The sequence below is a fragment of the Homo sapiens genome, chromosome 12 (genome assembly GCF_000001405.40).
Source record: "Homo sapiens chromosome 12, GRCh38.p14 Primary Assembly".
Taxonomy (NCBI): Eukaryota; Metazoa; Chordata; class Mammalia; order Primates; family Hominidae; genus Homo; species Homo sapiens.
Window position 1 is genome coordinate 80638487 of NC_000012.12, and position 17927 is coordinate 80656413.

Sequence of the window (17927 nt, forward strand, 5' to 3'; positions counted from 1 at the left end):
AAAATAAAACAAAAAACAAACATGGTGCTTGGTACTAAGTCCTTTCAATGATTTGTGGTTTCATATTTTAGAAATTATTTAACTATTTTATACTCTCTGCCTGTATATTTACACTTTAAAACCCATTCTGTAATTTTTGTTATTTGTAAACTCATTATTTAATTATGCTCCACTTTGTTTCACAAAACTTTTGAAAATGCCTTCTCTCACTCTATCATTCTATACTATTTCTTCCCAAATGAGAGCAGGAGTCAAATAAAGATGTAGTACTCTTTAATTCTATGAAAACATTCAAGGATATACTAAAATAACGTTTTAAATTCTCAATTTGAATGATAATTATATTATGTACAAAGATTATTCACATTTTATGTTTAAGTTTAGATAACACAAACTATAATTCTTAGGAAGAATATGTAACATTTTGGGCTCATCTGTTTCACACTTACCGAATTAGGAAATGATCCTTGGGTTTTGTTATCTAATAAACATACAGAACAACATTTTGTGATGGCTCCTGCAAAACACCACCACTTAGCCCACTGAAGTTAGAAAGGTTTCTTAGAGCTCTTATTGGCAAGATCAGCAGACACAGACACGCACAGTAAGACACAGACCTGTATCACTGAGACTGACTCACCTTGTGGATTGCCTTTAACTACTTTAACTGTACAACGATTACCTTCCCATGAGAGTCACATCACTTATAATTAAATAACCCAACAGAATTTTCGTAAGCTAAAAATGCTATTTGCTAAATAAGCTTATTTTTTACTATCTTCTTTCCGCATTTAAGTCACGGAAGTTTTGTTTCTTATGCCGACTAAATCAGAAAAGAATAGTAAAACAACATTAATCAATGTCACTAATATTCTTACTTGACAGAAACTCAGTTTCTTTTAGTCCTCAATTTTTTTTCAAAAATTTTATGCACCACTTCATATTAATTACCCTGCCTATTTTAGTTGAGTGAATGTAATGGCACATTATTTTAAGCCTCAAAGCCCAATCCAATAATCACGAATAGAATTAAAATTCACAAGATAAAGTAAACAATCTAATGAGTTGGAAAAATTTCTATTTTAAGAGAAGTCTTCTTCAATAATTTTCTTTCTTCAGTAACTTCAGAAGTGTACATGTTGAATTTTTGTTAAATACACAGTTATGTCTTCAGGAAGATTACTGCTTAAAAAAATTCTACATATGTACTTTGTAAACTGTAAACCAGAATACCTTTGGTATTGTTACTATTGTGATTTATATTTGTAATATTGAATACTACCCCGGTCTACTTTCATATATAGAGTTTGCTAACAAAATAATAGCTACTGTTTATGAGCAACTCCTGTGTTAAACTCTGCATGTAGTGATTTCACTTAACTCTTTCAAACCTTAGTGGTAGGTACACCTATCCCCATTTTACAGATGGATTAAAAAATGATGATAGGACAGGTTTATGTAAATGTCTAAGGTCATACAGCTAATAAGCAGGAGAGCTACAAGCTAGCCCAGGTCTTTCTCTGAGGTATGAAGATACACGTGTGTGTGTGTGTGTGTGTGTGTGTGTGTGTGTGTGTGTTTAACTTCGAAGCATACTAGAGAAGATTAATGTAAACTTTCTTAAATAGACAAAGACCCATGGAATTCTTCCTCAGCAGCATTTTCTATGATGAGAATGAGTCTAAAGAAAGAGGTTCCTCTTTGGATTTCTTTGTTGTCTCATGATATGAAGCAAAGAAGTGATGGCATTTAATGTTGACTCAAACTTGCAGGAACTGGAAAACTTTTAGTAGTGTAATTTTTATTTTGGCTTCAATAATAACTCATAATTTTTGACTGATATATGAAATTCTAATAGTTCACATTTTAAGTGTCATCATTCTTTGACAAATTCTGTTCATATATTTTACTTCCGTTCTAAACTTAAGCTATCTTTGCAAACAATGGCAAAAATTTGTGAATTCGGAATACAAGAAATGTTCTATGCTTAGAATGAAATTGGAGATACTTAATGCTCATATTCTTGTAATAACAAATCAAAAATAATTCAGTGTGTTTGTATACTAAATAATGAATCTTTACTTGCAGATACTCTTCATTTTTCTTTAGACGCAAGGAGATTTTTGTCATCCAGTAAGTTACTGTGGTAATGCAGAACTCTGCTGTGATTATTTTAATCTTGTCAGGTGGTGTGCTCTATATTTTAAAATACATAATATTGAACATCTTGTTGTTTAATGCACTATTTTTTCCAAAGCTCCCCCCAAAAGCTATATTTCTATTTACAACATGTCCTTTATAATATTGCATGCTATTGATAATGGTCAAGTTAATCTTATCAAAATGCACATTGACTCATAATGTGCATGTCCTGAGAATTTGCTGTGTTCTCATGTTGTGTTAGATTTGATAGCAAATTAAGTTTGCACCTAGATTCCTGTACAGGCTTCTCATTCTGTTATCAACATGACGCAAGAGTTGAGCTCTACATCTGATGGGTGGAAACTATATTTACATTTCATACAAGCTCATTTTTGCAACTGTAGATGGTTAACCTGTAAGGACCAAGACAATGACATTTCTTGTTCCCTGACTCTCTAGTGCATACACAGAATGGCATATTTCATGGAAACGTTATTTCTCCACTGACCAATGGGTAGCCAACTGTGCACGCTTCCAGGCACTCCCCTGATGCTCAGAAATGCCATTTGTATCCTGGCACAAACATTTTTTGTTACATTCTGAGAGTAGCATAGCAGAATATCAGCACTAGCAGGGACCCCAGTAACTGATTGAGCGTCCCAAACATAATAAATTTCTTCATGCAAAGAATGTAAATGAAGGAATATGAATGGAGGCAGAGAATAAAAAGGCATTTGATTTCAAAATCACACGCCTTACTAAAGAAGAATCCGTCTTCATGAGCTATAAGGCTGAATGGGGCCAAAGCTCCTGATAGTCTGGTTAACCATGAATAATACTCTGCATTATTAAAATCAAGGAAGCCCGGTCTATTTCTAATCTAATCACATTTAGCATTTGGGAATCATAAGTAACCTTGTTTTAACTTCAGATTAACTAGTTACCAAGTTCCCATTGACAGAATTAAAATACTTTAATGAAAATACATTTCCTTCAGAGGACCTGCTTGATGGGGTTCAAACATTTGTCAAAGTAAGACACTGTTAAACTGAAGATTTAATTGATCACATTACACATAAAATATCAATTTTCAACCAGCACTCAAAGTTAACCTCTGGGCCATTCCAGACTCAGAGGCGGTTTGGTTGAGCAACTCTGCTGAATGTCTTTCTTCATCATCATAAAATAGAATCCTTTTCCTATTCTTTTTCTCCTTCTCTCTTTCTCTCTCTCTCACTCTCTCTCTCTCTCTCTTGCTCTCTCTCTCTCGCTCTCTCTCTTTCTCTCCCTCCTTCCCTCTCTCTCTATTTTCTTTCTCTTCTTTCTCTTTTTTCTTCTTTCTTTCTTTTCTTGCTTGCTTGCTTCTTTCTTTTTTCTTGCTTTCCTCTCTCTAACGCCAAATTTTCTTTCCTAGAATCAGTGACTAGTACCCTGCTCAATCAGAGCCCTTACCCTGACACAGCTAAACTTAATCATTTGTGTTAGTCAGAACCTTTATAGAACACCTCTACATACGTCATACTATTTAAAGTAGATCTGTCTTGTTCCAAATCCAGTTTTCTGAGGTTGCTTCTAACATCTAACAGAGAAATGTTATTGCCTGCCTGTCATCTTGGCTAACAGGCAGTAAGGCCTTATTTTTAGCTGGTATAATATCTTCTGGTATCTCCTATTCATTGAGTCCTTGCTCAGGGCCCCATCCATCTCTTCACATAACTTTGATCAGTCTCTTTCTCCTCTCTATCTACAAATTCTACCCTGTTGCCCCGGATGTAGCTAAACAATGCCCATGGTTTTCATTTAGAATACATGGTTGACAAAAGAAGACTTCTGGCAAGAATATTTCTTCAAATGTGCTAATGTGGAAAGGCTTAGTAATAAGGAAAATTCAACTTCTGCCACACTGGGGATCATACCTCTGAGCTTTTTGACATCAGCAAGAATATTGCATTCACTTCTCATCTAAAAGGCCATTTCATCTTGTTTAAATAAAAATAAATAACAATTGAGGGCCGGGCGCGGTGGCTCACGCCTGTAATCCCAGCACTTTGGGAGGCCGAGGCGGGCGGATCACGAGGTCAGGAGATCGAGACCATCCCGGCTAAAACGGTGAAACCCCGTCTCTACTAAAAATACAAAAAATTAGCCGGGCGTAGTGGCGGGCGCCTGTAGTCCCAGCTACTCGGGAGGCTGAGGCAGGAGAATGGCGTGAACCCGGGAGGCGGAGCTTGCAGTGAGCCGAGATCCCGCCACTGCACTCCAGCCTGGGCGACAGAGCGAGACTCCGTCTTAAAAAAAAAAAAAAAAAAAAAAAAAAACAATTGAGTATCTCTCAAGTGCTAGGCACTGTTTTAGGCACTGGGAATAGTGTGATGAGAAAGGAAGAAACATTGCCTCCAAAGAGCTATCCTTCAAATTTAATGCTTCTTTTAAACTGATTTGTCCTACACATATGAGAAGATATGTTGAGAAGGTAATACATATCATTTACTATTAATTGTTTTCCTGATTTAAAAAAGTATTACATGGCCAGGCGCGGTGGCTCATGCCTGTAATCCCAGCACTTTGGGAGGTCGAGGCGGGTAGATCCCCTGAGGTCAGGAGTTCGAGACCAGCCTGGCCAACATGGCAAAATCCCGTCTCTACTAAAAGTACAAAAATTAGCCAGGCATAGTGGCAGACACCTGTAATCCCAGCTACTCAGGAGGCTGAGGCAGGAGAATCGCTTGAACCCAGGAGGCAGAGGTTGCAATGAGCCGAGTTTGCACCATTGCACTCCAGCCTGGGCAACAATCGTGAAATCCCATCTCAAAAAAAAAAAAAAGGAAGTATTCTATTACTCACTTATGGTATATTTCTCTTATAAAATTTTAGAATCAGCTGTATAGGACCAACCATGGGTTAGGATATTTTAAATTTATATTGAGCACCACGGAAACATCAATGATTTGGTAAAAGAATACAGAAGGATGTGACAGAATGCAGAAGGATGTGAAAGAATGCAGAAGGATGTGAAAGAACAAAATAAAGAAAACTAATAGGAAATAACAAAAATTAAGGCACCTTTAAAAGTATTAAAATAGATGCTTTGGATAAGCGATAGAATATTGTAGAAGTAGATGTAATTTATGTGTCATTAGTGACTTGATGAAATATATAAACTAAAAACTCACACTCAGTATCATACAAAACTTGGAAATATTAATATTGTACCAGAGAAATAGATTCTTCACAAATTTAATCTAAGTAGCAAGTACATGCTATGGGATACAAATACATATTTTTACACCAATTGACAAATTTGAGATTCTTTTATTTTTAACTTAACATCACTGGTTAAGTAGAAGAAAAGTTTCTCAGTTTGTCCCATACCACTGGTAATGCTGGTTGAAGCTGCTCAGCTATAGGTTATCATCTGTGGCTCTCTATTAGGACTATATTTTAATTCCCTATAGATTTCAACTAATTGACCTTGAGGGAAAGCTGAGTCTCTGTGACAATATGGTCTTCAATCACCACTGCCAACATAAATAAATGCTTCCTTTCTAGATCCATCAAGAGTAATCTGAGTGGAATTTAAGTTTTTGATAGGCTTTAAAGAAATGAGTCCAGACGTGAAATAAGACACTTTTCAACCAAAAGATATAGAATTTAAGACAGTTAAGATTCGTGTAATAAAAAGTGTTTAGCCCTTTCTATTGGAAATTAGTCAGTTATCTTATTGAAATCTGGACAGTTCCCAAATTGATTTATCCAGTAATGAACTGATTATAGTCTGACAGTAACCTTCACTATCATAAATGAATATCCTACCAGTCTAAAAATGCTTTCCATTTAACAGTTTTTTTTTAAGTTTTTAAAATGTTAATAAAAAGTTTTCTATTTGAGTATGTTTGAGTATCTCCTTGGATCACTTCATTCGAAACTAGCACTCCTGAAATAGCATTGTTGATTTTCATGCACATCAATTTCTGTGAGTTTCTAGTGCTTATTTAAGCAAACAGTTTTTCCTATTAGGAATTTAATTATACCTCTCAGTGATAAGTTAGTGCATTTTCCTTATAGTATGTCCCATTTTCTTTTCTAATTCTCTCTATAAATCAGTCAAATTAATTTTTTTGTATATAAACATTAAAGCTTAAAACCTCAAAGAAAAATACAATTTAGAATGTAGCCAACACCTAAGGGAGAAATACACCTATACAACATGAGGCTAAGAACGAAAGCAATGATAAGTATACTACAGACAACAATGAGGAAGGAAATATCTAACTTTTATTTGAAATAGTCAGGTAATGTACCTCAAAATGTCTTCTCAATTTGAGCATTCCTAATAGGTATTTGAAGATTTCAACTCACAAATGATTGTGACATAAGTACAGACTAGAAAATTACATAAAAACTGGACTACTAGAAGCTTTCTTATCTTATATAAACATAAATGTGAAGAACAGATTCTAAAAAGTGATTGGATTTAGATAAAAAAGAGTGATACAAAAGAAAATAAAGCCAAATCAGATTCCACCTCTCTTTTTCTTAAAGTGTGTGCCTATTTGTTTATCACTTGAGTAGGCAAGAGCAATTTTATTGTTCATTTATCTAACTTCCTAACAAAGTACACCTGTTAATTTATAACGTTAGGTTATCTGCTATGGCTTTTGCTTAGACTCACATGCTTTTTGTTGATAAATCTATTGATTATACGTATTTAAAGCTTTGAGTTAGGACCTCTTGAGAATTCTCAGTTTCTTAATAATTTAGTGTGAAAATGTATTCAATTCAGATATTCCCTCACAATAAAGCCAGAATATTCATATTTTGCTTTCTGTGTATCTTAATCTGAATTCATCCACAATTTTATATTTGATATGTTTTATTTAATGTTTACTGTGAATAATGTTATGAGGGACATCTAGTAAGCCAAGTGTTAATCCTGCCCCAGCCCTGAAGTATATATGAGCCCAAACACTTGTATCCTTAATGCAGGGACTTAAATAGCCATAATACAACATAGAAGATGATTTGTCCTTGGAAATTTGATTTTACAGGCAAAGGAAATTATTTTCTTTTTAGTAGAACAGAGTAAGATCGATAGGGTTGTTAACATTTGAATCAGGTATTAAAGAATAAGTAAAATTTCCGTTGTACGAAGAATGCCTGGAATGGTATAAAATTGAGAGGGAGGGATATATAGAGAATATCTGGAGTGCAAACAGGATGCATGAAGAGGAGTTACAAGGAATAATGTCAGAAATGTGGGCATGGTTAGAAATGTTTTACATGATTATATGAAAACTGAATTATTATGGTCATTGTATTAGAGATTTGTTTGGGATCTCGAATTGAGAGCTAGAAATCCAGACTTGGATTTGAAAGCTAGATATTCGTGACTACTATATTTTAGCACAATATAGTCTATCCATCTTTGAGTAAAATTAAGAGAATATTCTTTTGGAAATAATGGAAAAAATCCCTTCCTTATATCAGTATCAATTGTAGAACAGTATGGATAGGAGCAGCTTGAGATGAACAAACTAAATTAGCAATAGTAATTATCATACTATTGATAGTAACCAATACTTATGTATTGCTTACTAAAGGCAGAGACCTTTAAATATATGAACTTAATTTAATACATTTCCCAAACTAGGAAACTGAGGCACAGAAAAATTAAGTATTGCACATGATAATATAACTAGTAATTGTTCAAGCAGGTATTTGAAACCAATAAAGGCATCATATTTTCTAATAAGGCAATAATTCACAAATATCCACCCAAACCCATTATAGCCAGTTATGGTTTAAAATATCTTTAGGCGGACATCATGAAATGCACATCTTTATTATCCCCCTTGAGGGGTGAGGGAGCTGGGGTATTTATCCACCAACTCTGGTTAGTCATTGGTTGATGGATGTTTCTTGGAATATTTACCCTCCGATGCTTCTAGCCTGGATGCAGGAGACACTCGAGGAGAGTGGCAGGTCCTTGTAGTAGGAAACTATCTCCTTGCATGCGAATGTTGAGTGCCCAGGCGATGTGGGTTAGGCACCAATGACATCTGCACAAACTTTTAAAAATCTGAATTTCACAGCACTTAATAAATTTACGATGATGTATTTCTGCGAAAAAAAAAATCTTTAGGGAGAGATTTTAAATGCAAAATGAATTAAGAATAGTGAAACAGCAACTTTTGGTAGAGTTTTTCACTGAAAAGACATGAACTTAAAACAAAAAAATGTATATTTATTCAATTAATCATAACTTCTGAAATGAAGAATAGAGATGATTAAAGAAGAGCAATAATATGAATAATATTTTGCTTTAGCTATTTCTTGCTCACTTTTCTTTAATATGATTATTCACATTTAATGTCTCTTAGGGATTTCACAAATGTATACTGATGCTTCAAATGGTTTATTGACATTTTCCCAGAAACCAACATCTACTTTAGATTCTAGTTATCTCAGTAAAAATACTTTTGCAGTACCGGCTCAAATGATCCTCTAGGAAAAAGGAATCTCTCTGCGATGGGTGGCAGTCTCACTGTCCTTATATAGGTGGACTACTAGCCTGTCACTAAATCATATATATTGTGCTTAAATTTTGCCAATCACAATGGAATAATATTTGCTGTTATTATAAAAGTTATTTCCACAAAGTTCAAGAGTTTCTATGTCCATGTGGTAGCAGGGAAATAGACCTTGGTAATCAAAGCATCTCAGTCATTTATATCTTAAGTTCAGTTGATCAGAATTTACCCAACACAACCTTCTATTCTTTCCTATTTCTGAAGAACAAGGTATCATAGGGGCACTGGGCAACAAGTTATCTTAAGGGAGCTAGGTAGTATGTGTGGATGTAGCCTGTAGTTTATCTTTCTTTCTTGCTGGTCTTCGCTGAGGGGTAATTATTTTTAACAAAGATTGATTGTGGCTTCAGTCCCCACTGCAACTGTTACTATGTCAGAGATATTTCCAGGGCCTCCAATATTCAGACATTCTATTTTCCCTTCCCCAAATCAAAGATTCTTCTCATTTGGTAGCCCTTTCAGCCATCTCCATATCCATCTAGAATAAGGAATTCTTTCTTGCTTTCTTTAAATCACTCTAGGGTATTGTGGGGCACTCTTAAGCTTATCCACCAAGACTCTTTGTTAGTCACTGCTACTTTGTCACTTAGATGCCCTGTTTGGCAATGGAATAGTCTATCACTTTATGTTTACCCTGAGAAGCTGGAAGATACAACATCTCTTTCTGCTTGGGGGGCACCCATCATTAACTGAGAATTCTAACATTCTACTTTGTAATACCTGGTCCAGCATCCCCATATTTTTCAACAATTCCTGTATTGTAATGAAATATACTTCCTTTTAAATCCTGTTTTCTTCATTGAATACACCTCTTTTTGACCATTTTCATATTTATTATGCTCTGTTTTTCAAACCATTTTTTTTCTTTTATTCATTCTTTGCTTCAAAAAACATATCTTCTTACAAATATTCTTCAATTAAAGAATATAGTAAAATCCCTAATATTATTCTAGATTTAAAACTTTGAAAAAGTCATATGTTCCTTAGTTCATTTCATTATATTTTGTGCCTTTTGTGTTTTTTGCAGTGCTAATTTGTTGTGCATGACGTAAGTGTTATTAATGATACGCCCCTCTCTAAGTTTGTGTATGTTGTGTAGCCTATTTAGCTGTTAAAATTATTTTTGTTTACAGAGTATAAGTAATTTGGCCAATGATCTGTCACAAAAGATAGGTCTAAAATAATGGAAATAGTTATAATTTGTTGTTGCTGTGTATTTATCCAAACTCACTCATGAAACAATACTTAACCAATGTGATGTCATGTTTCATGGATTCATTCTGTCTGGTTCAACACTTTCTATATATAGAGGAAATATTTTTAAAATCCACATTAGCTCTTTTAGACCACTAAATACCATGCAATATATTAAAAAGTGATCTATTTTTAATGTAGTATCCTAAATGCCTAACATTTTTAAGCATTTATAATGACATTTATAATAACAACAACATCTTTTCAGCTCGAGAAAGAATGTAAATTATTTGCCATGTTTGAGTCCAAATAATGTAATTTCAAAAAAATAAATAAAATTTAAAATAATGATCATATATTAGTTAAAGGCATAGCACATTTTACATTATTGATTTATTATAATTTTCTGACTTTAATCTACACTTCTTTCAGAATTAGCTGTCCACTCTGACTCACAATGCATTTAACACAATCTCTATTGCAGGTTACTTAGTTATAGAAAATCCATCAAGTAAGTTTGTTAAATATTTTCTTTCTTCTTTTTGAATATCAAAGTTAGATGCACTGACTCAGTAGAACCTTAATGTGTGATTCACTTTTTGTATGTTTGTTGGAAAAACCTCCAAGCTGGATATAAATCATAAAAGCATGACTAATTGCATGGTAACTGGAGAAATGCTTTCTCTCTCTCTGGGGTGAAGCCTGCATGTCTGTATTTTAGCTTGGGAAGTAATACGGGGATATTTAAACTCCTTGGGGTTTGAAAACCATGTCATTATGAGAATGAGGTCACTGCAATATTTTATATCTTCTAAAACCTTGTAATGTATAAAATGTTTTCTGTCTGACAAAGAGGTATTATGTGCTTTAGGAGTCAATGATAACTTCATGCCCTTACATTTACTTGAAAAATTTTCTTCATTAAAATGCTAAATCCTTTATTTAATGTCACTAAAAAATTGAAGGAATTTTGTGCCATGAATACAAAGAAAGTGAGCTTAAAGAAGAAAAGTTAATTTTATAAGTATAACAGAGTGACTTTAAAAAGCTGTGTTGTTTGTGATTTTGGGGATGTCCATTGTTCTTTAACTTGTTAAAAGTGAAGCCAGTGCCAATGCTAACGCGAACAAATACAATCTAACATGACCCTATTTTATACCTTTCTTTACTTGGAGGCCAATAAGCAAGAAATCCTTCCTGCAACATGTTGAAGAGCTTTGCACAAACAACAACCTAAAGTTTCAAGAAGAATTTTCGGTATGTTACTAGCAGTTGTCACAACATTGCAAGACCTCCAGTCGTTTCATGTGTCACATTTCATGTCCATTTTAAGCAAGCAAGGCCATGAAGGACTCTGGCCTTGATAATCAATACCCAATTACCAGGTTGATTGTTTTGATAGTAATGTTACACTGGGCCGCCTCTGGTGCAACCTGATCAGAATTATTCACCTACTGTGTCAGGAAAAGGTGGTCTTCTTCAGACCTCCCCTGTATTGGCAGCATGACCTTGTCTATTCTCTGCTCTTTCATCCAGATGTAGGTGCAAATGTAGAATGCCATATTCATTAGTTTGTTTTGTATTCAAGGTTTAGGTCATACTATAAGTGTAGTTTTATATTTAAGTAATTATTTTACATTTGGACACTAAATTATTTCATTTTACGTTTACCTACTTGGTTTACATTAGTGATATAGATGAATGTGAGATCAAAACTTGAAGCTTCCAGAAACTATAAGAAAATTATTTCTAGAACTGTCTAAAAATAAAAAAAAAGATAAGTAATGTCCACGTTTTACAGGGGGCCTTTTTAAAGTTACTATGGAATAAATGCTGTATCATATAATGAAAATGTATAAAATTAAGAATTTGTCACTTTAAATCTACTTAAAAGTTGGGAATAGTTTTTTTTTTAACATTTTGTATATCTATAAAATTGAAATTATTTAAAAACATAAGGTAGATATCAAATCTTCAAGCTACTTTAAGAGTTATAAGCATCTTTTCTAACTTAGATGATTATTTTGTTATTAAGAAAGACAGATTTCTACATGTCACCAAAAACATTATTTCTATTTTATTTTTTTCCATGAAATTTCCAGTGTGTGAACTCCTGAAACAAAGAATAAAACAATTGGGTTAAATAATTCAGAATTATAATATTTCAGTCTCTTAGGGAATAATAACAAAAATGAGAGAAGATTAATGGTATTTCCTGCAGCCTTTTGGTTATGCTTCTTAAGAAATATTGGTCTGGACTTAACAAAATCAATAGTGCCATAAAATTCTTCCTAGCATTTAGACAGCAAGAATTCTCAATTTTTCAGGAGCAAAAGTGTAATTTCCCTAGAATAAGAGTGAATGTAATTACATTATGCATGACCAAGTAGATAAAAAGTTTTATTAGCAATAACATTTTCACATATATGAGAAAGTTTCTAGTTTAAGTTTTTTGAAGACCATAGTTTGAAGAACTTTTTAAAAATTTCATTTTGTCTAATGCTTTGTTAAGAATTTCTAAAGCAAATTATTAAATTATGTTTTAATAAATACATTTTTGGTGCATATATTTGATAAACCTTTTAACTCAGGACATATTCACTCATATCTTAAATATTTATAAGTTCCTACTATGTGATAGGCATTGTATTTGGCACATACAATCAGCACTTACCAGCTAAGTGACTTTGGGCAAATTTCTTAAACTCTCTTTGCCTCAATATCTTCATTTGTAAAATTATAATATCTACTTTATTAAATTATGAATATAAAATGATTGAATATAAGCAATACTAAGAACAGTAGCTGGCACAAGTATTAGCTATTACGATGATAAATTCTACCATAAAGAAGCTCATATTATGGTAAGAACTGCAGATGTGTAAAAATTGCAAATTTACTGTATCTTGATGGAGATATGCATGAAGATTGAGGATCAAATCTGTTTGTATATCAACCAGAAAAGAGTTTATAAAAAAGGTGTCTTTCAGGATGAACTTTAGGATGAGCAGAAGTCTAATGAGAAGGTAAAGGAAAAAAGGTGTTCCAGAGACAGGAAAAGGATAGGAATGCAAAAACGGTCTAACTCATCTGTGGTCCCACTGAAAAGAGAGAAAGCAATAGGAGAAAGAGCTAAATAGGGAGAATTGTGGCCTTGTGCACCCTGATAAGGATAACACTGCCCAGTGTAACATTACCATCTAAACAATCAACCTAGTGTTTGAGCATTGCTTACCAAAGCCAGAGCTGCTTAAGTCTAGAAATGGAAACTTTTATGTGAAATAATTATAAAATATAAGTGCTCTTTCAGTCTATTTAAACTCACCTTTTTTCTCCCTTCTTTATGTATTTCCAAAACTTTGACACAAGGAAGCTGTTCTAGGACTCCTTATTGGGTTAAAAAAATTTTGTAAGCCTTTGGTGCCAACACATCAGAATTCAGATCTTACACCATTCCTGTCCCTTAATACATACCCATATGTAAACAATTGTCCAGATTTTAATTTTGAGAAAAAAAAATAAGAAAGGGAAACTTATCCAATTAAAAGAAATAATTTATATTGATGTTGAAAAATTGTTAAAACACATATTTTTAGTGCTTTTTATGGAATTTGGCAAGTTGAGATTTCTAAAATGGAAAACTATAAATTTCACACATGTAAATTTTCAGCTCAACAAAATAATGAACATATTTTCTTATGCCAGACTTTTTAATGATGCTTGCTTTGCCAAGAGCAAGGTAGATAGATAATATCATAAATTTTCATCAAATGTCAATAATAGATCTTCTTGACCCTTCATCTATATCTGATAATTCTTAATTGCACCTTTGCATTCCATTATTGATTTAGCAATGCTTATTAAGAGCAGGAATTGACCTCTGGCATCTTCTCAAACTGACCAATGTTGTACCAATTAATAGGCATGAAATCACACTGCCTGAGGAGAGAAAACAAAAAATAAATCATTGAAATCCCTTTTCCTACTAAGTAGACATTAAAATATTAAACAATAGTGTGTACCTGATGAAACCATTAGTAACATATGTAAAATGGTCACTAACATGGTTGCCACATCTTAAGGCTTCCCAAAGTGCAAAGAAATTATCTCCGAAAGAGCAAAACCCAGCTGACCAACTTTATTCAGGATATTTTTGGTGAAAGCCTAGGTAAACTCATTACTGTTAACTTGACCTTGTTTCCACAGTTATGATAGGTGTTTTTAATTTAAAAATTAAAAAAAAAGTTTAGGACAAATAACTGTCTTTTAATAAGTGAAATTTCTTGTTTACCTCTGATAAATGTAAACTTTGTAATGACTTTATTTTACAGGAATTACCAAAATTTCTTCAGGATCTTTCTTCAACTGATGCTGATCTGCCTTGGAATAGAGCAAAAAACCGCTTCCCAAACATAAAACCATGTATGTGCATTTGTTGGTTTTGGTTTAGCTAGGAAATATTTTTAAATGCCTACCATCTTAACTTTTTTGTTTCCTTAATATATTTTATTTTATATTGTTTGAATTATAATAATGTATTTTATTGGCAGTGACTACCAAATTATATATCTTTTGCTTTGTTCATATTTAACTAAAGTTAGTATACGTGGTTTTCAGTTTGTTCACACAAGTTCACTTATGCAGGTGCAAGAAACTGTAGACCTAATAGTTTCTTAGCTTTGTAATTAAACCCAAGTAATGAACCTGTTTAACATCTTCCTACAGACCTAGCATCAAATGCAAAGGGAATATTCTCACTTAGCTTTGTGCATTAGTTTCCCTTCACAGCATAGCAGTGTTTTCCTATGGAACATAAAAAAAATGCATTGTAAAATATTCATTGAAGACCAGAGTAAATGCGCACTTACATGAATTCATTTTACATATGAGGCAGAATGAGCTTCACCATAGTACATACAGCTTCATTTTTCAATCAATAAGAAAATAAACAGTGTTATTGCTTAAAGAATTAACAGTGATGTGAAAGGAAAATAGGACATTTCTCTGTTACTAATAACTATATGTTTGCTATTATATTTTTGAACAGATATCCCTATTTTCAATATTCTGATTCAATACATTTTACACTATGAAATTAAAAAGTGACATTGTGATGTCCTGAAACGTTTCAAAGTCTAGAGTTTTGAAATGTTCCCAATTTTAAAGATAATATACATCTGTGTGTGTATATATATATTTTTGTCTATGCTTTTTCAAATGTATATTGGGGGAATAGCTACACTTCTTAAAAATTGAATTCTTCTTTCTAGAAAGACGTAGACCTAGAGAAGGATGTGATCATAGAATGTCGAATTGTAAAGGACATGCATAGGAAGAAACAGACCAAATTCTGATATTCTAGAACTAGGGAATAACTTATGAAGTTCACGAAGGAAACAAATGTAAGGAAACATGATATAGGAAGTAGTAATCTACTAGAACCTGTTAATTTCTAAGAAGTAGAATAGGATGAAAATACAAATAGCTTTAACCACCTAAATCCTTTCTGCAACAAAACAAATCATAAGTAAATGATTTTAAGAGCAAGATAACAAGACTCAGTCAGAGGAAATAAACATTCATAATTTCTTTTTCTTTCTTTCTTTTTTTCTTTCTTTCTTTTTTTTCTTTCTTTCTTTTCTTTCTTTCTCTCTTTCTTATCTCTCTTCCTTTCTTTTCTTTTCTCTTTTCTTTTCTTTCTTTTTGGACTTTTGATCTTGTTGTCCAGGCTGGAGTGCGGTAGTGCAACCTTGGCTCACTGCAACTTCTGCCTCCTGGGTTCAAGCAATCTCCTGCCTCAGCCTCCCAAGTAGCTGGGATTACAGGCATGTGCCGCCATGCCCAGCTAATTTTGTATTTTAAGTGGAGATGGTTTTTCACCATGTTTGTCAGGCTGGTTAAATTTCTAAGACCAGGACATTTTTCAACGCATCCTTTTATTCTTTCTTTTAGAGAGTTAACCTAGGTTGGATGCAATGTAAGTATAAAAGTTATGGACATTCCCATGTCTTTATATTTATCTGCACCTAAATTTCATCCAGACTGTTTGCTTCATGCTTATTTGGTGATATTCTGTGAAAATAAATACTGTAATCTGATTAAGGGACAGTAACTGTGGAATAATTAGTATTTTTTCAATTGTATAGAATTAATGGCCTGGCGCGGTGGCTCACGCCTGTAATCCCAGCACGTTGGGAGGCTGAGGCGGGCAGATCACTTGAGGTCAGAAGTTCAAGACTAGCCTGGCAAATGTGGTGAAACCCCATCTGTACTAAAAATCCAAAAAAAAAAAAAAAAATTAGCCGGGCGTGATGGCAGGTGCCTGTAATCCCAGCTACTCGAGAGGCTGAGGCAGGAGACTTGCTTGAACCTGGGAGGCAGAGGTTGCAGTGAGCCGAGATCGCACCATTGCATTCCATCCTGGGTGACAGAGCGAGACTCTATCTCAAAAAATAATAATAATAATTAATTTATAATATATCAGTATATATAAAGTAAGTAATTCAAATATGTCTAACTTACTTCCAAGGAGTGTCTAATTTGAAATATGTAAAATTTGATAGATCAGAAAGTTTTTTTGCTGTGTGACTTTTCAATCATTTATTAAGATTTCAGTGCATTATTATCTGGGTTCCCTTTAAGACTGTAAGAAATGTTAGACAATTTTAGCTTATTACTTATAGGATGAGAAGAGAATAAGAGTGGTTGATGGGACTAAATAAACAATCTTAAAGTAATAAAAAGGACCGAGGAGTATGACTACCCCAATTTTCCATATCTGAAGCTGAGATAAAAAATTAATCAGGTTTCCTGGGTTACATATCTGTTTACCCACTAACTACATTAGTGACTCTGGACATTTTATTCAGTGGTCTCTACCCCATAAGAGTATTGTAAAAATTAGATGAAATAATCATGTAAATCGCTTTGCCCAGTATTGGAACACAGGAAACATTCAAAATATTAGTTCTTATCTTATTGGTTAATAGATCATTTCCTTTTAAGAGCTGCTAACTTTCTGGGTGAATAAGGTTAATTCATAGGCATTTAGGCTATGTCTGGAGATAACAAACCCAAATCTCTAGCCTGGGTTAGAAACCAAGCCGTAAAGTCACAGGCACATCTATTCTATGGGCAAGTATACCCCCGGTTCTCTCTGTCTCTCTCTCTCTCTCTCTGTCTCTCTCTCTCTCACACACACACACCCATACACACTCTCACACACATGTACACACACACACTAGGAACAAGCAAATAAGATGTTTAAACTAAGTAGATTATCCTATTGTGCTTGCAGAGAACCCATAAAGCTGAAGAAAATTTATTTTCCCTGCAGAGATTGATTTCATTTTAATAGAATTTGAATTTTAGCTAATAGAATTTGAATTTTAGCTTGAGCCAGCTAAATGAAGTCCATTGTTTCTCTCCCCTGAGTAATGTAAGAAGCAGAATGCCAAATATCACAGCATGTTTTAGAAGACATTAGCTTAAAACACTTTAAGATGCTAGAATTAGCAGCAAATACTTGCAGAAGAGATTTCCAAATCTCCGTTTGACAGACGACCTATGACCTTCAGAAATATTCCAACACCACAAAGAAAAGTTTAGCTTGTAGTTGACTCAGATAGTTATAAGGAGGTGTATCTAGTGAATAGAAACATAATGATTCTCTTCCTTAGTAACAGGACTAGTTACAATGTCATTAAACTAGATCATATAAAATTCTATATTTGGGACATAAATCATTTGCAGAAATGTGTTTAATCATTCCCATTTCTAAACATAACCACATTGGGCAAGTAATTGTGATTACTAACAATACAACTAATTCATTTTAACATATTATGTGCTTAAGTTTTAAGAATGTAAGAACATGTATTGAGTGCCTATTATAAGCTTTCATGTAAATTTTCTTCAAGAGGATTATACAAAATCTGTGTTATAATGACATCTTGTAGCTGAGGTAACCAAGGAGCAGAGAAGCTTAGCAATTTACCCAAG

The 17927-nt window shown here is 33.5% G+C and overlaps 1 protein-coding gene and 1 long non-coding RNA gene across 2 annotated transcripts in view; one reads left to right on the top strand and one right to left on the bottom strand.

The window, feature by feature from the left end:
* Positions 1–17927, top strand: part of PTPRQ (protein tyrosine phosphatase receptor type Q) — a 236039-nt gene that overhangs the window by 194252 nt on the left and 23860 nt on the right. Inside the window, exons 36-38 of the mRNA NM_001145026.2 lie at positions 10411–10437; positions 11102–11183; positions 14258–14348. Coding sequence (NP_001138498.1) covers positions 10411–10437; positions 11102–11183; positions 14258–14348 — 200 coding nt within the window. The remainder of the gene's footprint in view (positions 1–10410; positions 10438–11101; positions 11184–14257; positions 14349–17927) is intronic.
* The window catches only part of LOC105369867 (uncharacterized), a 176665-nt gene that overhangs the window by 107913 nt on the left and 50825 nt on the right, over positions 1–17927 (bottom strand). The window lies entirely within an intron of this gene.